The 23,111-nt window shown below is 38.8% G+C and overlaps 1 long non-coding RNA gene across 2 annotated transcripts in view, besides 1 other annotated feature; it reads right to left on the reverse strand.

Moving 5' to 3' along the window:
• The window catches only part of LOC105370816 (uncharacterized), a 31,023-nt gene extending 19,375 nt beyond the window's left edge, over positions 1–11,648 (reverse strand). For both annotated transcript variants that reach the window (XR_932236.3, XR_932234.3), the window contains exons 1-2: positions 11,439–11,648; positions 9,350–9,510 (exon numbers count right to left, since the gene is read on the reverse strand). This is a non-coding gene — a long non-coding RNA (uncharacterized LOC105370816). The remainder of the gene's footprint in view (positions 1–9,349; positions 9,511–11,438) is intronic.
• Positions 8,048–8,628: a transcriptional cis regulatory region, noted in NCBI's record as "candidate enhancer chr15.1149 targeted for multiplex CRISPR interference". NCBI's record gives its function as "positively regulates expression of the SCG3 and TMOD2 genes with high confidence and the LYSMD2 gene with lower confidence in K562 cells {active_cell/tissue: K562}" and the evidence as "EXISTENCE:mutant phenotype evidence [ECO:0000015][PMID:30612741]".
• Positions 11,649–23,111: the final 11,463 nt, after the last annotated feature.

Raw genomic sequence — 23,111 nt, forward strand, 5'->3', positions numbered from 1 at the left:
AACCTCCTTATGTCAGGTGATCCACCTGCCTTGGCCTCCCAAAGTGCTGGGATTAGAGGCGTGAGCCACCATGCCCGGCCACAGAAAGATATTTTGAACAGAAAGACAGTACAGTTATATCCTTCAACCCCCCACTTCTCACCTTTCACTACCTTCTTATCCAACTATAAAGCATGGTATTTCAGAGCTAGTTTTTAAGGAAGAAATTGTTGAAGTTAGTCAAAGACGAAGTATGAACAATTAAAGACAATGATGTACCCCCAAAAGCCCACAAGATAGAGGTTCCAAAAATGAAATGATAAAAATGAACATGTAATGGGTAAGATTAATTATCTACCCACAAAGATCATTTACAGTCAGCAGTAAGGTCTAAATGGGTGCCTGTGTGTCATCTCCAGTGAGCACAATTCTATTGGCATGTCTATAGCTGTAACCTAGTTTGGTGCCTAAGAGGAAAGGGGTGTTTCCAGTGGAAGGAACAATGAGCCTGTACTAATCAAACCACCTTCATAGATAATTTGGCTTCCCTATTATATGTGTAAGGAAAGAATATATTGATGCAGCTGTCTTTTGTCATTACAAATGAATAAATAAGCAGTTTCTTGTGAATTTGATGTGTGAATTGATCCTTCTGAACTCAGTCAGTCAGTCGGCAGAAAAAAATCAAGTGCCCATGGAGCACTCTACTGAGGTTCACAAAATACTGCCCTGGAAAATCAATCCAAGAGGGGCTGGCTCCTGTTAATGAAGATGAGGAGGATGAGACTGCTGATAATGTTGATGATGATAGCTACTATGTGTCGGGTGCTGTGTTAAGTGCTTTACAAAAATTTCCCTGTGTAATTGCCATAGCAATCCCTCTTACAGATTAGAAAAAATGGGGTTTGGAAAGGTTAAGAAACTTGCCTAAGGTGACACATCTGTGAGCTAAGATTCAAACCAGATCTAAATGGGAAGCAAAACTACTTGATCACTGTTCTTGATTGCTTACCTCAAAAGAAGAGATCTTCTTTGGATTCTTAATGAACTTGCCTAGGACGTTTCCTTTCAATTCCATGAAAAAGTAAATACATTTTATGACTCCAACTTGCCTCTTAATAAGAAATGCCAGAAGGTTTAATTCAGGCAAATAATGTATTAATTTTCTAAAAAGAATGTTGTGGGTACCAAAAACTACAAACTAGTAAACCTGGAAAAATCTTTAATGGAGAATAAAACACAATTTGTGGCAATTTAAAAAAGAAATATATTTATCAGGAGCCAACAAGGATTCACCAAGAGCAAGTCATGTCAAATTTATTTAGTCTAGTTTTCAACAGCAAAACTAATGCCATAGACATCTTTTATTTTCTTTCCGTGAAAAATATGACAAAATCCCTACTGATTATCACACCAAAATATTATGCTGACCAAGGCCCCCACAGGCCTCTATAAAACGGCAGATCCCTTGGCAAATTTACCATTGATGAGACTCTAACTTCAGCCTGGCCAACTCAGAAATTTAATTTCCTCATGCTTACAAAGCCCACAAGAAACTAATGACTAAAACCAGCCACTTTTTATTGAAAAGTCATACTATATTGAAATGTATTTTACATATAGAAAGAAACACAAATCTTTAGTGAACAGCTTGGAGAATTCTCACAAATAAATATATATATACTGGTATAACCATCAATCATTCCAGAAAAGTTCCTCATCCCCCTTTCTGGCCAATACCTCCACCTCAATAGCTTTCTCGTTTCTACCACCAGGGATTAGTTTTACCTGATCTTGAGCTTTACATACAGGGGATTTTACACTATGCATCCTTTTGTGTCTAGCTTCTTATACTCTACACTATATTTTTGAAATTCATTTACATTGTTACGTGTATCAGCATTTTGTTTGTTTGTTTTTTTTTTTACTGCTAAGCAGTACTCCATTGTATGAATATAGTTTATGAATTTGGGTGATAGACATTGCAACAAAGCACCATTTTATTTAGACATGATAATATTAATCTTAGGCGTTTCCCTTTTTAAGGATATGCTTGCATATCACAGCTTTTGGGTTTTAGTTGAATTATCTGAAATCCCCCTGTACCTCCATTTCCAGTTCTTGCACGAACGACTTCGATATTACCCTGGCCTAATGGGTGACCTGCAGGATTTATCCCAGATGTCTGGATTAATGGTGTTCTGGCCACCTGGAGGAGTCACAAGAGTCAGTCCTCCTCTCTGCCTTGGTCTGAAAGGTGTGGCTGAAGACACAGTATAATTGTCAAATCTATAGATGGCCAGAATAGCTGATGTGAAAGCTAACAGAATCAAAATTTATAAGAATTTAAAGCAGACTGAAGCACAAAATCAAACCAACAATATAGACATTGAGAACTAGATATAGGTTCAGAAAACATCACTCACAAGTACAGTTTTGGAGTAATCTGGTTTGCCAAAATTTCAATTTGAATACACAGGTTTATAAAAATGACTGCATTAAAATAAGCATTTTTAAATCCTACTCTGCATTGATTCAGACTGTAACTGGGAAACAATTTTCAATTCTGGCCACCACAGTTTAAGAAAACTTATAATTCTGGTAAGTATATTCACAGCGAGATGACCAGTACTAATTCATTCATTCAACAAGTATTTGAGCATTTACTTTGTGCTGGGCACTGTCATGCTGATGGGGGTATAGCAGCAAGGAAAACGACTAAGGCCCTGCCTCATGGTACTTATATTCTAGAAGGAATACAGAAAATGAACAAATAAAAATATAATATGTTAGGGCCCAGGAAGTTCAATGAAGAAAAATAAAGCCAGGTAAAGTAATAGAAGAGAAGGGAAGGGCTTTTGGGAGGAAGTGGCCAAAGCAGACCTCTCCAAACAGATGACATTTGAACAAAGACCTGAACGATGTAAGGCAGGGTTCAGCAAACTATGAACAGTGGGCCAAATTTGACTGCACACCTGTTTTTGTGTGGCTCGAGAGCTAAGAATGGTTTTTATATTTTTAAAATAGTTAACAAAAAAATTTTTTAGAGAATAATACTTTTTGACATGGGAAAATTATATGCAATTCAAATTTCAGCATCCAAAAATAAAGTTTTATTGGGACACATCCGCACTCATTTATTTACTTATTCTCCATGGCTGCTCTTGCATTATCACAGCAGATTTGAGACCATATGGCCCACAAAGCCTAAAATATTTACCATCTGGCTCTTTATGCAAAATGATTGTTGACCCCTGATATAAGGGAGCAAGCCCTACCATTATCTAAGGGGAAAACGCCCTGGAATAGATAATGGCAAGAGTAAAGGCCCTGAGTCAGGCCTGTGGTTGGCTTGTGATCAACGAACTGGAAGGAAGCCAGTGTGGCTGGATGGCAGGGAGAGAGGGTGAGACTAGTAGGAAATGGCAGGAAGTGAAATCAGAAAGGGAACTTCAGACCAGATCTGCTTGGGGTAAGGATTTTGACTTAAGTGACACAGAAAGCCATTTAAGGGGTTTGAAAAAGGAATGACATAGTGTGACAGCTGGCTGGAACATGGCTGGATGGGGAAAAAAATACATCTATTTTCTCTAAGCATCAGCTGCAATTTAACATTTCAGTCATAAATATAGACAACAAAACACAATTGTATTTAGCAGTACCTGTGACTTTGTCACCAATGAATATCACTTTTTTTTTTTTTTTGAGATGGAGTCTTGCTCTATCGCCCAGGCTGGAGTGCAGTGGCGTGATCTCAGCTCACTGCAACCTCTGCCTCCTGGGTTCAAGCGATTCTTATGCCTCAGCCTCCAGAATAGCTGGGATTACAGGCGCCCGCCACTACGCCCGCCTAATTTTTTTGTATTTTTAGTAGAGACGGGGTTTTACCATGTTGGACAGGCTGGTCTCAAACTCCTGACCTTAAGGGAACTGCCTGCTTCGGCCTCCCAAAGTGTTGGGATTACAGGCGTGAGCCTCTGCACACTTTTTTATAGATAATGATTATTGTAATTATCTTAAAATATCATTTATGAATAGATCTATTCAGAAATTATTAGACCTTGTACTATAGCTTGTTATTAAATGAATTAATAAAGAAGTATGTATGTGTATTCAGAGTGAACAGGCAACCTACAGAATGGGAGAAAATTTTTGCAATCTACCATCTGACAAAGAGCTAATATCCAGAATCTACAAAGAACTTAAACAAATTTACAAGAAGAAAACAAACAACCCCATCAAAAAGTGGGCAAAGGGTATGAACAGACACTTCTCAAAAGAAGACATTTATGCAGCCAACAGACACATGGAAAAATGCTCATCATCACTGGTCATCAGAGAAATGCAAATCAAAACCACAATGAGATACCATCTCATGCCAGTTAGAATGGCGATCATTAAAAAGTCAGGAAACAACAGATGCTGGAGAGGATGTGGAGAAATAGGAACACTTTTACACTGTTTGTGGGAGTATAAATTAGTTCAACCATTGTGGAAGACAGTGTGGCAATTCCTGAAGGATCTAGAACTACAAATACCATTTGACCCAGCAATCCCATTACTGGGATTGGTATAGGTATACCTGTACCTATACCTATACCAATACCTATACCAATACCTATACCTATAGGTATAGGTATATACCTATAGGATTATAAATCATGCTACTATAAAGACACATGCACACGTATGTTTATTGCGGCACTATTCACAATAGCAAAAACTTGGAACTAACCCAAATGTCCATCAATGATAGGCTGGATTAAGAAAAATGTGGCACATATACACCATGGAATACTATGCAGCTATAAAAAAGGACGAGTTCATGTCCTTTGCAGGGACATGGATGAAGCTGGAAACCATCATTCCCAGCAAACTATCACAAAGACAGAAAACCAAACGTTGCATGTTCTCACTCATAGGTGGGAACTGAACAATAAGAACACTTGGACACAGGGTGGGGAACATCACACACTGGGGCCTGTTGGGGGATGGGGGGCTGGGGGAGGGACAGCATTAGGAGAAATACCTAATGTAAATGATGAGTTGATGGGTGCAGCAAACCAACATGGCACATGTAAACAAACCTGCACGTTGTGCACATCTACCCTAGAACTTAAAGTATAATAATAAAAAAAGATGTATGTGTATATATAAAACTATATCACAAATTTGATTTTTTGATATTTTAATAACTGTATTCCAATGTAATTGATTTCCTGTTTAATGCTTTGTATTTCATATTATGTGTTTTTAAATGTCTCTCTGGGGCCCATATGCTCTACAAGATTTTCCAAAGGGTCTAGAGCCCAATAGAAACTGATATAAAAGCAGTGAGAAGCACTAGAAGGACTAAATTAGAGAAGGGAGGACAAGGCAGGTCCAAGATAGGTATTTTAATTTCTCTGGCACATAGTAAGCACTGAATATATGTTAATTACTATTGTTATTGCTAATATTTTTATGTATACCCTTATAGTTTTTTAGCTGTGTGTGGCATATACTACTTTGTTATCTCCATTTTTCACTCAAAAGTATATCATAAACATCATTCATTGTCATTACATACTTTTAAACCTCATTTTAATGGTCAAAGAGTGGTTAATTGCAGAGACGTATCATTATTTATTCAATTAATCCTCAATCGCAAGATATTTAGATTCTTGTTTTACTTAGTAAAAATAAACACTGCAATAAACACCAATGTTAAGTCTTTGCAGCATCAGTGTTAAATCTTAAAGTATCCATAATTATTTCTTTAGGATAGACCCTAAAATTAGAATCAGCATGCATTACTCAGTGTGCTGGATGTGAAATCCAGTCTGTCCAAGATTTCCACTTCAGCTGTCCTCTTAGTTGGGATTTCATCTTTCCTCCTTGGTTCACACATACATAAGCAACTGTCTGAGCTTACCCTCCTGGTTCAACCAAAGCCCCCAGTGTTTAAACACACACACACACATACACACACACAGAGAGTCAGTTTTGTCTGTTCTTACTTTCTGTACAGAATTAAGGCAACAGGAAGGATACATGAAATCAAGGGACAAAAGCTAAATTCCTACCATCCACCTGGTGGCAGTATTTCCTAAACGTTGGCAGAATATACAGGCAGTAATAGGTACCTTCTGTTATTTCAATAGTATTTTCTATGCAAATCCAGTCCTATAAAGTGGTGTACCATGTCACAATGAATGAAAAAAAGAATTATTCTGGCAAACGCTAGGTCAATACAGTTGTATAGTAATTCTAGAAGTTTCCTTTGAGGACTGCCAAAACAAATATCTTTGTTTAAAAACAAAAAAAAAAAAAGCTATTTTTAAAAAGCTTGTAAAATTAATTTTTCTCATTAAGAATATTATAAGATTGCAGACATTTTTAGAAATAGAGAAAGGAAGTCACATATATTTTTACTAACATAACCCGTTAGCATATTGTTATGCTCCTTTCTGATCCTTTTTTCTCTAAGCACATTTTTATAATTGTAATCAAGCTATACATAAAATTGGCTTATACTCTCCTTTTGGCATTAATCACATTGAAAAATTAATATACTTAAATAAAATATATTAAAGTATACTTATAAAATATACTTATTTCTGGGAGAGGTGGTCACAGGTGATATTTACTTCTTTAAACACTTTTGTATTTCCTACTTTTAAAATCAGAAAAAATTTAATCCTAAAAAATCTATTTGATTCCATTTACATCCTATACAACCCCACATTTCTATCCCTAGGTGAATCTCCAACAAATAGGTATAAAAATGTGCCTCAAAATGCAAAGGTACCAAGAAAAACAAAACAAACAAACAAAAAAGGCAAAGGTACTAAATTGTTTACAGGAACATCACTTCAATTCTCAGTTGATGGCTTTGCTTCCCATTCACTGAGAAAATGACCTACGGCATCTTGTCTTTATTAGCTCTCTGACTTCACTCCATCCCTCTCTACTCCTTTCCTCCTTGCTCACTTTACTCCATTCCCACTGGCCCCTTTGCCATGCCTAGAACAGGCCAGGCATAATCTCACTCCAGGGACTTTTACCATACTCTTTCCTCTGGAGGCTTTGCCCCAGATATCCACAACGCTAGCCCCCTCATTTCCTTCTCAAGTCTACACAAAAGTCACCTCCTTATTGAGACCTTTCAACCCCACCTCTAAATGTCATGTCCTTCTTCTCTGCTTTATTTTTTCTCCTATACACCCATAACTTTCTAGCAATGTGTATTTTGCTTATCTGTTTTATTTCCCTTTCCACCTGAATGCAAACTCTGTGAAGGCAGGTTTTGTGTCAGTTTTGTTCAGTGACGTTCACTGAGTGTTTTGTTCACTGCTTATTCTATTTGAGGCACAGAATATGAATGGCACATGATATGTACTCAAGAAATACTTACTGAACAAATAAACGAATAAATGATGGCAGCCTGAACTAGGGCAGAGGGGAGATTGAGAGGAGGGAGATGGACTGGACAAGCAGAATAACAGTGAATAGCAGGTTGTGGGATATGATGGTGCAGTCGCATAGGACCCTCAGTGCCTCTGGATAATTGGCTTACATCTTCTTGAGATGCAGCATGAGTGAGGGAGGAAGGAGCTTGAGTAGTTGCATTTGAGACTTGAGATGCTTGCCGGTCATCCAGTGCTCTAGGTAACTGGATATGTATGTGGTCAAGGGAGTGGTCAGGGGTGGAGATACAGAGGATGGCCTCAAGTCTGGAAATACAAATAATATTATCTCATGTATTTTAATATCAATAAAAAATACATTACATATTTACTCCTGTTTCCATTGTAGAATCTTCATTATTATTGGGGAGAGAGTAAATGAAATGAGTTCAATCTTCCAAGGATGGCTAATCTTATGTATGTAGCTGCCTATATAAACTTTCCAATAATTCACCAAGTGTTGGCCTATTTCTATTACCTTGGCTTCCTTAATCTTGACATAAATGCTCATAAGAAATTTTTGAAGTGTAAAGGACAGCCTCAGAAACAATACAGCAAATTCCAGGCAGCCTCCATAAAAACATACAGCATATAGAGTTCTATATACCAACAAAAGGCTACAAAAACCCTGTAATTAGCCTTTTGCCTGTGGAATTAGTTTAAAGATAATGTCTATGAGTGCTGTAGATGATTAGATCTTAATTTTATAGTCAGAGTTATACTACTGAGAGAGGAATAATATAAGGTGGCCGTAGGAGATTAGAAAATTCCAGGCAACAATTTCATATGACTAGCAAAAGGCAACTGTTGAAATAGCTGCAGAGGCTATGGGCTGATAAGACCCTGAGAAACAGGGTGTGGACCAAGATGGCTAAGACTGACTGAACCCAACATGTCACTGGATTTGACGTAGGTTTCTCCTAGAACCTCATTATATGCTCATTAACGTAATCACATGCCCACCAGCACCATGACACTTCCAGGAACACCCATTATTTAGTGCAAAAGTGGGTGGCACCACAGTTTTGAGAAATCTTCACCTTTTTCCAGGAATCTTCATGAATATGTCACCCCTTGGTTACAGAAACCCATAAAGATAGTACCCGAAAACCTTGTGTGCAACTCTCTTGAGTACACCTGCACTCCCCTTTCTTGAGTGTGTACTTTTCGCTTTGCAATAAATCTTCATCTTTTCACTATTTTCTGACTCATCCCTGAATTTCTTCTTGTGATGGTGTCAAGAGCCTGGATACCGGTTGAGGTCAAGGTCCCACTAGTGTTTGTGGACCTACCCCAGCCCATCAGTATCATTACCACCTCAGGACTATCATATATATATATACGTATATATATATATATATATACACGTATATATATATACACACACACATATATACATGCTGGGGAATATATATATATGTGTGTATATATATATGTATATATATACATATATATACATGCTGAGGAAAGGTGATTCGGTTCCTGATTTTGAAGGCCCTAAAGCCTCATTAATACCTAAATAATCCCTTTTTCACTGCCTTGGACATACTTACCCCTAACTCCCTCACTTCTTGAATTTTTCCTGCCTCCTTACGTTAGCAACACCTCTCTCCACCAGACCACCTAATGAGAGCACCATGACTCCTGAGGTCAAGGACCATATTTTGTTCAACATCATATTCTCAGCACTAACACAAAATGGGTGCTCAATAAATGCTCAGATAGCAAGTGGCCAGGGGAGGGCAGGTGAAAGAAGTTCCATCTGAAACATAATCCACGTTATTACCCGGTGTGGCAAACACTGCTGGTTATCTTATGGCAGTCATTTCTCCCTCGAATCTTTCCAGTTTTGACCATTGGGAGCTCTTTCAGTTGGCTTTCATGCCTCCATCAATGTAGATTTGTTTTGAACACTTTCTTACTTTCAGGCACTACAAGATGCTGCAGGGTCGTCTTGTATATCTTCTGCCCGTCTTACAATCACCTGCTTCTCCAAGGATCCTTGATTCCTTTTATTGAAGGATGGTGTTAGAAACCAAGATTTCTGCATTAGACATGCTCATTGCTGTTGGAGTGTCATTGCCTATAGATTCAACATACATAATTTAAAATGTGGTAGTAGCCCCATTATTTAAAAAAAGCAAAAAAAAAAAGACTGAAATTGACTTTAATTAAACCAAGTGTTTCCAACATATTATCATTTCAATATGTAATCAATGCAAAAAATGATTAATCAGATTTTTGCATAGTTTTTCTTTCACACCGAGTCTTTGAAATTCAGCCCATCTCAATTTGGATTAATCACATTTCAAGTGCTCCACAGCCCACATGTGGCTAGCAGCTACTACAGGAATAGTGAAATTCTAAAAGCTTTATGATTTCAGCCTTTGCTATGTGGCCTATTATCCATCTTGAACTATTTTTTGTATATGGAATGAGTGACTATCAAAATTTGTTTATATTCAGTATCAAAAAATTAAATCTTCAGTGCCATTTGTTAAAATGACTTTCCTGGCCAGGTGCGGTGGCTCACACCTGTAATTCCAGCACTTTGGGAGGCCAATGGGGGTGGACTGCCTGAACTCAGGAGTTTGCAACCAGCCTGGGCAACACAGTGAAACCCTGTCTCTACTAAAATACAAAAAATTAGCCGGACGTAGCAGCGAGCGCCTGTAGTCCCGGCTACTGGGGAGGCCGAGGCAGGAGAATCACTTGAACCCAGGAGGTGGAGGATGCAGTGAGCTGAGATTGCACCATTGCACTCCAGCCTGGGTGACGGAGTGAGACTCCGTCTTGAAAAAACAAACAAACAAACAAAAATGACTTTCCTTCTCTATTGAATGGACTTGGCACCTTGAGCCTATTGCTAGATTCTTTATTCTGCTCCATTGATATTCATCTAGTTGATTACATAACTTTACATATGTAACTCACAGTAACTTTCAGACTCAAGTGGTATAAGAAATCCAACTCTATTCTTTTTCAAAATGGTTTTGGCTCTTCAATTCCTTTGCATTTTCGTATGCAAATTTAAGAATCAGCTTGTCAATTTCTTCAAAAGACCTTGCGGGGATTTTGATTAGGGCTGTGTGAAATCCATAGGTCAATGTGGGGAGAATGGAAATCTTAACAATGTTGAGCCTTCCAATATATGAACATTCCCTTTCTCTCCATTTATTAAAGTCTCTTAAAATTTCAGCGATGTTACAGTTTCAGCATAAGGATCTTGCACATTTTGTTAGATATATCCCTGGACATTTGAATTTTTTTTGTTTGGTTGGTTGGTTTTGGGTTTTTGTTTTGTTCTGTTTTGTTTTGTTTTGAGACAGAGCCTCACTCTATCGCCCAGGCTGGAATGCCCTGGCACTCTCTCGGCTCACTGCAACCTCAGCCTCCTGGGTTTAAGTGATTCCCCTGCCTCAGCCTCCCAAGTAGCTGGGATTACAGGCATGCACCATCACACCTGGCTAATTTTTCTATTTTTAGCAGAGATGGGTTTTCACCATGTTGGCCAGGCTGGTCTCAAACTCCTGACCTCAAGTGATCCACCTGCCTTAGTCTCCCAAAGTGCTGGGATTACAGGCACAAACCACTGTGCCCGGCCCATCTGATGTTTTTTAAGGCTCTTGTAAATTGTATTTTAAAAATTCTGTATTTTTAAAATTATTTATTTTCTAATTGTTACAAGTATAGTCATACTTCAGTATCCATTTGAGATTGGTTCCAGACCACCCCCATCCCCTACAGTTACCAAAATTCATGGATGTTAAAGTCCTTTATATAAAACTGTTACCGGGGGGTCCTTGCTCCCAGAGCTCCCAAGATGGCAGTGGGCCACTTCCAAGATGGTGGCAAGCCTCATGTTCTCTGACCTGGGGTTCTTGGCCTCACGGATTCCAAGGAATGGAATCTTGAGCCATGCAGTGAGTGTTACAGCTCTATTAGAAGCCGTGGGTCACGGAAGAGAACCATGGAACCCAGTGACTAGTGTTCAGCTCGATAAGGACGAACCTGGGCACTTAGCCGTGCAGGAGCAATCTCAAGCCGTTAGCCCAATCGGGAGCGGCAAGGGGCGCCTCACTGGATCAGGAGCACAGCAGACACCCTGCCGGATCCGGAGGGATGGAAGTCAGCGGCAGGTCTGTGGCGGCGGCAAACAGCAATGGTGGACGGCGAGCGAAAGCTCAGCTCCAGCCGTAACAAACACAGACCAGAAGAGTGCAGTTGGGAGATTTAATAGAGTGAAATAGAGTGAAAACAGAGCTCGCATACAAATGGAGGGGACCCAAAGAGGGTAGCAGTTGCTGGCTGGAATGCCTGGGTTTATATCCCCCGATTATTGTCCCGCCCACTGTGTTCTCAGGCGATAGATGATTGGCTATTTCTTTACTTCCTGTTTAGCCTAATTAGCATTTTAGTGAGCTCTTTTTCCTACCTGACTGGTTGGGTGTGAGCTAAGTTGCAAGCCACGTGTTTAAAGGTGGAAGCGGTCACCTTCCCAGCTAGGCTTAGGGATTCTTAGTTGGCCTAGGAAATCCAGCTAGTCCTGTCTCTCAAAATGACATAGTATTTGAATATAACCTACTCACATCCTCCTGTATACTTTAAATCATCTCTAGGTTACTTATAATACAGAATACAATGCCTATAAATCACTTCATTTGCGTGATTCAGCATAGCACTCAGCACATGGCAAATTCCAGTTTTGCTTTTGGAACGTTGTAGAATTTTGTTTCTGAAGATTTTCAATCTATGGGTGGTTTAGCCTGTGCGTGCAGATCCCATGGATACGAATGACTGACTGTCTCTAGAAATATAGGAAAGTTTCAGGTATTTATTTTGTATTCTGCAATTTTGCTAAATTCATTTATTCCGTTAAAAAACTTGACTCTAGGCCAGGCGCGGTGGCTCACACCTGTAATCCCAGCACTTTGGGAGACCGAGGCGGGTGGATCACGAGGCCAGGAGCTCAAGACCATCCTGGCCAACATGGTGAAACCCTGTCTCTACTAAAAATACAAAAAAGTAGCCAGGCATGGTGGCGGGCACCTGTAGTCCCAGCTACTTGGAAGGCTGAGGCAGGAGAATTGCTTGAACCTGGGAGGCAGAGCTTGCAGTGAGCTGAGATCACGCCACTGAATTCCAGCCTGGAGCCTGGGCGACAGAGTGAGACTCCGTCTCAAAAAAAAAAAAAAAAACAACAACTAGACTCTGTTGGCTTTTCTACATACACAATCATGTGTAGGAGAAGAAAAATAATTTTTTACTCAACTGTCATAAATTCTTAGTTGAAATGGACCCCCGTAACAAAAGACAGATTAACAATGGCCAGACATAGTGGATCACGCCTGTAATCCTAGCATTTTGGGAAGCTGAAGCGGGTGGATCACCTGAGATCAGGAGTTCGAGACCAGCCTGGCCAACATAGTGAAACCCCATCTCTACCAAAAATACAAAAATTAGCCAGACGTGGTGGCGTGTGCCTGTAATCCCAGCTACTTGGGAAGCTGAGGCAGGAGAACTGCTTGAACCCAGGAGGCGGAGGTTGCAGTGAGCCCAGATCACGCCACTGCACTCCAGCCTGCCTGGGCGAAAGAGCAAGACTTCGTGTCAAAATAAGTAAATAAATAAATAAAAGATTAACAAGAGAAAAGCAAACAGATGTTTATTAACAAGTACATTTCATATATACCTGGGAGAGACCCAGGAAATGAGTGGTTCTCAAAGAACTAGCTTTGAATTCCAGCCTATATACTATTTTCAACAAAGAATGGCAAATTTTTGGAGAAATGACAAGACATAGGAAAAGGACTTTGAGTCTCTAGGGGAGGTAACTTGTGAGAAGGCAAATAAAAAGGCCAGTTAGTAATACTTTTTTTTTTTTTTTTGACAGAGTCTCGCTCTATCACCCAGGCTGGAGTGCAGTGGTGCTATCTCGGCTCACTGCAAACTCTGCCTCCCGGGTTCACGCCATTCTCCTGCCTCAGCCTCCTGAGTAGCTGGAACTACAGGCGCCCACCACTGCACCCGGCTAATTTTTTTGTATTTTTAGTAGAGACAGGGTTTCACCATGTTAGCCAGGCTGGCCTCGATTTCCTGACCTCGTGATCCACCTGCCTCAGCCTCCCAAAGTGCTGGGATTACAGGCGTGAGCCACCGGGCCCGGCCAGTAATGCTTGTTAATGTAGAGCTCTCTGATGCCGTCTCCAGACCCATAAGGGTCTACAGTTGTTTTCAATGGTTAACTTTTGTTCTCTCTGGTAGAAAGTGTATGTGTGTGGAGCATGGGGTCATACCTCTTGTCTTTGTCAAGGTATGTTCTGCTTCTATGGAAATATAGGGATGATAGAAAGTTTTCCTGCACCTACTGTTTCTTAATTACCTTTAGCTCAACAATCCTTATGCCAGAGGCATATTTGTGGTGGTGTATTCTGGTCTCCCACACATGTTATTTATGAATAAATGGTTTTATTTATTTTCCCTTTTAATTGATATTTTAACCTAAATTGATTTGTATTTCATATCAAGAGAGTGGACAGTTTTTGATACAAACTCTTTGGAAAGAAATTTGGCAATATAAACAAGAAATCATAAAATTATTATACTCTTTGATTCAGTAAAGTCCCTCCTAGAAGTCTATGAAGGAAAGTGATTCTTTTCTTAAAAAGAAGTGTGATACACCCACTCAGTGAGCTATTTGTAGACATTAAAAATGAGATTATAAAAACATGACTGTTAAGATGCTTACAGATGAGTGTTGTACACCCAACTAAAAGTGGCTTAAAGTTTAAATAATGTCTCCACATAACAAAAAGACCAGAGAAATCTGGGTGGGGTGGCTCACCCCTCTAATCTCAGCACTTTGGGAGGCTGAGGCAGGCAGATCACTTAAGGCCAGGAGTTCGAAACCAGCCTGGGAAACATGGCAAAACCCCGTCTCTACAAAAAAATATAAAAATTAGCTGGGCATGGTGGCACGCATCTACAGTCCCAGCTACTCGGGAGGCTTAGGCATGAGAATCACTTGAGCGGGGAGGTGTAGGTTGCCGTGAGCTGAGATTGCACCACTGCACTCCAGCCTGGACAATAGAGGGAGACTGTCTCAAAAAAGTAAATAAATAAATAAAAATAAAGACCAGCGGTAAGGCAATTCCAAGACTTACTAAATAGTTTGGTTTTGTTTTTTTTAGAAAAACAGGTGATATGTATATATGAAGCAAGAGAATAAGGTCTGGAGACAGGGAACCTTCACTTCAGCCTCTGATTGGTCGCAGGCCAAGTCTTCATTTTCACAGGGCATAACTCCACTTCAGCCTCTGATTGCTTGTGGGCCATGTCTTCATTTACATAGGGTGTAACCAATAGGAAACCTCTAAAGAGTAATGAAACCCCAGAAGATTTTGCAACAGGTGCTCTTGAGCTTCTTGCTTAAGCCACTCCCACTCTGTGGAGTGTACTTTCCTTTCAATACATCTGTGCTTTCATTGCTTCTTTCGTTCATCTGGTTTTTTGTTGCTTTGTTTGTGTGTTTTGTCCAATTCCTTGTTCAAAACACCAAGAACCTAGATGACTCGTCAAGACCCTCCACCAGTAACATATACATTAATATTTAAGAAACACTGAAACTTAAGAAACTTCCTCTTAAGTCACATTGACCTGGGTTGCTATCAGAAATGAATTAGTTGTTCTCAATCCTGGCAGCTCATCCAAATAACCTGGGGAAATCTTTGCCAAATACAAGGGCAAGATTTTTTCTTATGTTTTCTTCTGGATTTTTTATAGTTTTAGCTTTTACATTTAGGCCTATTATTCATTTTGAGTTAGTTTTAGCATATGGTGTGAGGTTGGAGGATTTTTTTTGGCCTATGGCTACCTTAAATATAACTCAAAAGTCACAAACTATAAAAGACAAAAATCAGTAAACTAGACTATCAAAATTAAAATCTGTTTTTCAAGAGAAAAGAAAATGAAAAAGCAAGCCACAGGCTGGGAAAAAATATTGAGAAAGCAATCAAACAAACCAGAATGGGGTTTTTAAGGAGAAGGTAACTTTACAAGACAATTGACCTGGTGTCTTTAAAAAAATTATTAGAAAATAATAATTGTGCATATTCATGGGGTATATAGTGATGTTTTGATAAAAATAATTCATAGCAATCAGATTACGGTAATTAGCATATCCATCATCTCAAATATTTATCCTTTCTTTATGTTGGAAACATTCAATATCCTCCTTCTTGGCCTGGTTTCTTTACAAGTCAATGGCATGAGAGAAAGAAGCGGGGAAGGGAAGACTGTTCTAGAGTACAAGAATTTAAGAGATACAATAATCAAATGGTTTGAGCAAACCAACTAAAAATAACATTATTGGGAATAATTGGGAAAATTTCAGTATGTAGTGGGCATTGGGTCAGTGTTTCTCCACCTGTGGTGAAGGAACAGTTTTTCCCCAATCCATTGCAGAAAGTTACAGTTGTGAAATAAAATAAAAATTAATTAGTAGAAAAATGAAGTAAATAAAAGATGCACAACAAACAAGAGTCATTGTTTTTACTATTGTTGGAGTCAACAGACATAAAATTATCCTGTGAAATTGTTGTACTTACTTCTAAATGGCTATTCTCAGTTTCTTTACACATTTCTTCACAGACAGACAATGGTTTATGACCAGAACCACTGATAATGGTAATGATAATGATAATGGTAGAGAATAGAAAAAGTCCTGACATTTCTAGGAAAAGACTGATTGTACCAAAGCTATTGTAACAAGTAGCCACTACAACTGCTTTTTAACCTGCTTAATAAATAAATTATAGTTCTGTAATCATGGTAAAAATAACTGCAAGCACTATTTATATATACATATACACATATATAAGCATATATATGTATTTGTGTGTCTGTGTGTGCATATATAGTGTATATTCATGAGGTATATGTGCAATTTTGCTACATTGATATATTGCATTGTGGTGAAGTCAAGGCCTTCAGTGCATCCATCACTGGAGCAACACACATTGTACCTACCAAGCAACCTCCCACCCATCTTCCCATCTTCCCAGCCCTCAAATCCCCATTGCCCATCATTCCACATTCTGCTTTTATATGTACACATTACTTAGCTTCCACTTATAGGTGAGAACATGCGATATTTGTCTTTCTGTGTCTGAGTTGTTTCACTTAAGATAATGGCCTCTGGTTCCATCCACATTGCTGCAAATGACAGAATTTCATTCTTTTTTATGACGAAATAGTATTCCATTGTGTATGTGTACCATATTTTGTTGATCCAATCCTCTATTGATGGGCACCTAGGTTGATTCCATGTCTTTGCTATTGTGAATAGTGCTGTGATAAATATACGAGTGCAGGTATATTTTTGATATAATGATATTTTCCTTTGGATAGATACCCAACAGTGAGATTGCTGGGTCAAATGGTGGCTCTGTTTTTAGTTCTTTGAGAAATCTCCATACTGTTTTCCATGGAGGTTGTACTAATTTACACAGAATTGGTTTTAAATCCATTTAATCAATCAATGACAATTTGCCTTGGCCCAATTTGCAATTTAATCCATTTGTGAATCTCCTGCTTCTGAAAGTCAGTCCATTGAGACTGATTCCAATGAACATGTTTCTGAATGCCAAGCCATCAGAAACAGGCTCATCTGAGTGACCTTGTGTCTACAGCTGATGAAAACCTAATCCCACTTCTAAAAATGCACCAATCTCTGAACTACACTCTTTTTAAAAACCCAATACAAGGTCGTCAATCAGTTCTACACAGATAGATTGTCCCTGACCAGCATCCCACTCATTTACTTAAGTAAGTGATAAATACAGCTTTGTGCTTTGTGTTTCAGATGTTGAATAGTGGTCTTGTTCTTTGACAGGACATAAGAAAATGTCTTTATACCTTAGAGATGCTTACTGAAGCGCTTAGATATAAAATATAGCTATAGATCATGATAAGTGAAGAAAATAGGGTGATGTGATAGAGACTAGAGAAAAATGACTTTAAGGTGGGATTAGGGAAGGTCTTTTTTAGAGGTGTCATTTTAGCTGAGACCTGAAGGTAGATGCCAGTCGGGCAAGGAGCCTATGAAAGAGACTTCCAGTCAGAGCTTGTTTGTGCAAAGGCTCCCAAGGTGGGAAACACAACATCCTCTAGGTTCATCTGTGTTGTCATAAATGACAGAATTTTTTGCTTTCTTAAGGGTGAGTAGTATTCCATTGTGTATATATGCCACATTTCCTTTATCTATCTATTCATCCATTGATGGACACTTAGGTTGTTTCCATATATTGGCAATTATGAACAGTACTGCAATGAATGGTGGAATGCAGATATCTCTTTGATATCATGGTTTGTTTTTTTTGAGACAGAGTCACGCTCTGTCACCCAGGCTGGAGTACAGTGGCACGATCTCGGCTCCCTGCAATCTCAGCCTCCCAGGTTCAAGCAATTCCCTTGCCTCAGCCTCCCAAGTAGCTGAGATTACAGGCTTGCACCACCATGCCCAGCTAATTTTTTTTTCTTTTTTGAGACGGAATCTCACACTGTCGCCCAGGCTGGAGTGCAGTGGCGCAATCTCAGCTCACTGCAACCTCTGCTTCCTGGGTTCAAGCGATTCCGCTGCTTCAGCCTCCCAAGTAGCTGGGATTACAGGCACCCGCCACCATGCCCAGATAATTTTTTGTATTTTTAGTAGAGATGGGGTTTCACTATGTTGGCCAGACTGGTCTCGAATTCCTGACCTCATGATCCGCCCACCTCGGCCTCCCAAAGTGCTGGGATTACAGGTTGTGAGCCACCACACCCAGTCCTGTATTTTTAGTAGAGACAGGGTTTCACCATGTTGGCCAGGCTGGTCTTGAACTCCTGACCTCAAGTGATCTGCTGTTTTGGCCTCCGAAAGGGCTGGGATTACAAGCGTGAGCCACCATACCCGGCCATGTATGTCTTCTTTGGAAAAGTTGAGTATTTAGTTTGATAAGAAAAGAAATGATAACACAATACAGATTTTGAAAAGCTGACAAACAGCAAAACATCACAAAATCCTTAAAAAGCATAAAATTTTCATTAACTGCCTAATACATCTTTATACCACCCTTCTTCCCCATTTTTGGCTGCAAATTTTTTCATATGACATTGATTTTATAGTATCAGTTTACATGGAGAGAATAGAAAAAAGCTCAATCTGTCCTATAGCATGTTGATCAAAATTTGGTTTTTTAAATTTTTGTTTGTTGAGATGCTTAAAACATACAATGTTACACAAGAACATACTCTCTGTTTGTAATACTGCTACTATTTATGATCCACAAACACAGGAATTATGATCAAGTCTATAATGTGAGATCCCTATCAGAAAAAAACATGTATTTAAAGCTGTTTACCCAGCATTATCAAATATATACTTGAAAAAAAAAACTTCATTTTGACAAGGAACTAAATCTGCTATTTATAATTTTACACTTCTGATGATTAGAAGAATTTTCCACATGGTAGCTTGGGCTCAATATGGTTCTCTTTTTACTTTCAACTTTTCCATGTCCTTATTTTTAAAGTATGTATCTGATGAACAGCATACAGTTGGGTTATTGTTTTACTGGTCTGACTCTTTGTCTTCAGGTTGGAGTATTTAGTCCGCTTGCATGCTCCTCATATTGTTCTCTGCAGCAATGTTGGTCATCCCAGTTACTACATCGCACTTTGGGTGTTGTTTCTCCTCCACTGTTGACATACTACTTTGGTGCCAGAAGCTATAGGACACATTCACATTGTGATGGGACCTCTAGCCATGCACTTTTGTGCCTGGATACCAGATGAGTTGGCACAGTTGGCAGTAGGCGTGTTCTAGGAATCCATTCTTATATCAGCCAGACTAGCAATAATCTAACTCAACATGGAAGTGACTATGAGACACTTAAATTATCCTACTAAACTCAATATATCCCAACTTAACTTTCCTTTATCTAACTTCCAGAAATGCCTATGGCTATTCACCCAACATCCAACATGGGGAGAAATTTGGTGGGAAGTTAGAGTACAGAGTTCTGAACTAATTGAGTTTTAAAGATTTACTTTTTAAAATTGTGTGAAAGTATATGGCTATGTGAACTAGCTAGGGCTTTTCCCTGGGCCTTGGAAGGGGCTTGTACAACCTTAAGTAAGCTTCACTAGCTTCACAGTAAACCTGTTTTGAGTATGGCTAATAATGGCTTGAGCAGAAGTAGGGTAAAATAGCCATTCAATTATGATTTGCTGCTGACCCTGTTGAGAGAATCTGACTATGGACCTCTGCTTCCCCAGATTATCTGAATGATAATAAATATTACAAATAAGACAGAGATCTTTGAGTGGACAGGGCAAGAGAGGCAACTGGACTGTGGAACCCTAGATTAGTATATCGGAAAATTTAGAACAAGTTCTTTTTTCCCTACTGTTGTCTGTTGACCTCTGTTGGGATTTTATGAATATAATACTTCTAAATTTTATATATGGCTAAAATTGCCCTATTTTGTAATCTCAATGTAGAAATGACAATGTAATAACAGGTTTTTCCTGATTTGTTAATTTATGTGCATGAAAAGTTTTACATACATTGGTATAAAAATTATTTAGTTATATGTATTTTAAATTCCCTTCATTTTAGAAAGAATAATGTTTTATGAAATGAAATGCAATACAAAATTCTATAACATTTGAGTTGTCTTTTCTTTCTTTCTTTTTTTTTTTTTTTACAGAGTCTTGCTCTGTCACCCAGGCTGGAGTACAGTGGCACGATCTCTGCTCACTGCAACCTTTGCCTCCCAGATTCAAGTGATTATTGTGCCTCAGCCTCCTGAGTAGCTGGGATTACAGGCATGTGCCACCACACCCAGCAAGTTTTTGTGTTTTTAGAAGAGACAGGGTTTCCCCATGTTGGCCAGGCTGGTCTTAGACTCCTGGTCTCAAGTGATCTGCCTTCCTTGGCCTCCCAAAGTGCCGGGATTACAGGCATGAGCCACCACGCCTGGTCGACCTGTACTTTTATATAGCCCTCATTTTTGTCAAAAAGTACTTATACTCCTGTATTTAATCAAACATCTTTTAGAGAAATCTTTGGATAATTCTTTTGGATTATTATTACAGATTTTACAATTTCCTGGCCTTACAGGTTTTTCTTTTAATGAGAATTTTCCTACGGAAAGGAGAGGAAATAGTAAAATTAACCCCCATATACTCATCTAAACTTGACAATGATTAACATTTTGCCATAATTGCTTCCTCTATATTTTTTCTGATGTTTCTTAAGGTAAATCATAAAGATCATGTTTTTTCATGCTCTAAAGATTTTAGTAGGCATCTCTAAAAATTAAGAACATGTAACAACAATCCCTAATGAAATTAACAATAATTCCTTTTATATCATAAAATACCCATTCTATATCTGAATTTTCCAATTGTACAAAAATATTCTTTCTAGAGGTTTGTTCAAAATGGCATCCAATCAAAGCCCACAATTTGCATTTGTTACATCTCTTAAGTCTTGTGCAATCTGGAACAGTTTCAGTCCACACTTATCCTCCCATGACAGTGACTTGTTGAGGAGGCTAGAAAAGTAGTCTCTTCTATTAACAGTCTGGTAGAATTTTCCACCTTCTGGAGTTGTCTCATTGCTTCCTCACGGAGGCAGGATTTATTCCTCTAGCCCCTGGAATTTAGATCTAAAGGACTTATTAGATTCAAGTAAACTTTTTTTGGCAAGACTATTTTAGTGGTACTTTAAATTGCATTATAGCAGGATGCCCATATGTCTGGTTGTTCCACTATTTGTGATGTTAAGATTGATCCCTAGATTCAGGGAGTGACAGACTGATTTCTTTAAAAAATAACAGCCTTATTCAAATATAATTCATATACCATGCAATTCACCTATTTAAAGTGTATAGCTCGGTGATTTCTAGTCTATTCACGGTGCTGCGTAACCATCACTGTAAATATTTTCAGAACATCTTCAACACCCCAGAAAGAAACCCTATACTCATTAGCAGGCATCACCCCCACTTCCCAACTACCACCACCACCACCCCCAGCCTTGAGCAACCACTAATCTACTCTTTGTCACTATAAGATTTATCCATTCTGGACATTTTATATAAATAGAATTATACAATATGTGGTAACAGCCTGACTTTTGCATTGTAAAATTGCACCCTGCCATTCATTGCCTCATGACTAGCAGTAATCTGTCAGGGCAAATATTATTTAAATAGTGAAAACCTTCTTTTCTGATAGTGTTTATATTGGGCAGTGAGAGGAAAAATACATATTTTTTCCAATTTTAAAAATTGTGGTAAAGTAAATATAACATAAAATTTATCATCTTCACCAATTTTTAAGTGCACTGGTCAGTGGCATTAAATACATTCATAATGTTGTGCAACCATAACCACCAACCATCTCCATAACTCTTTTCATCTTGTAAAACTGAAACTCCATACCCATTAAACAATAACTCCCTATTTTCTCCTCCCATCATCCTCTGGCAAACACCATTCTACTTTCAAAATACACAGTTTTAAAATTAAAATATTATATCAAATATCGTTTTTTTTTCTTTTGAGATAGAGTTGTGCACTGTTGCCCAGGCTGGAGTGTAGTGGTGCGATCTCTGCTCACTGCAACCTCCGGCTCCTGGGTTTAAGTGATTCTCCTGCCTCAGCCTACCAAGTAGCTGGGATGACAGGGATCCGCCATCGCGCCCAGCTAATTTTTTGTATTTTTAGTAGAGTGGGGGTTTCACCATGTTAGCCAGGCTGGTCTTGAACTCCTGGCCTCAAGTGATCCGCCCACCTTGGGCTCCCAAAGTGCCGGGATTACAGGCGCAAGCCATTGCGCTCAGCCAAAATATCCTTAAGTAGCACTTAACTACCTTTGATCTGTAGAAACCTTTTTTCCCATTGACTTGTAATTTCTTACTATGGCATATTTTAAAGACACATATTCTTTAAAAATTTATGATAGTGCAAAAAGAAGGGAAAGGGTCTTTGAAAAAGATTACTTGGCTGCTTACCAAAATCAGGAAGGTAGTCTTCCATCGCACTTGTGTTTTTTCCCTCAGCTCATTTCAATAGGACTCTAGTATGCAATTACAAAATAATTTATAGAGGTACTCAATATGTACCTTGCAAATATTTAAATTAATGGTTCTGTCTCTAATTTAACTGCATACTAAGTTCTTCTGGGGAGCTTGTGAAGACTTCCAACGTCAGCGTCCAGGTTCTATTCCATACCAGAGAAATTAGCATCTTAGGCAGCATATAACAGCTGATAGTGATGCTTGTGTACTTAACCTCACAACACATCAAGAGGCACATAATGTTGAGTTGATGCCAGTGACTGATGCTGAATTTGGTCACCAAATTAAAATGATGCCTACTAAGTCACTCCGTTGCAAGGCGTATTTTCTGTTTGCAATTAGCAAGTAATCTGTGGGGTGATATTTTGAAATCTTGTGACTACTCTGTTCCCCAATCATTTTTCACCTAATGGTTTAAGCGGTCATTGATAATTCTTGTAATATGAGGTTGTAAAGTGATGATTTTCTAGTTCTAGAATTCTTTTCTGATTTGTTAGCTTGCATTCTTCTGTAAAGAAGAAGGATTACTCCCCAGCCCCTACCGTTTTTTTGTTTTT

This window comes from Homo sapiens, chromosome 15 (assembly GCF_000001405.40).
Source record: "Homo sapiens chromosome 15, GRCh38.p14 Primary Assembly".
NCBI classification, from domain to species: Eukaryota; Metazoa; Chordata; class Mammalia; order Primates; family Hominidae; genus Homo; species Homo sapiens.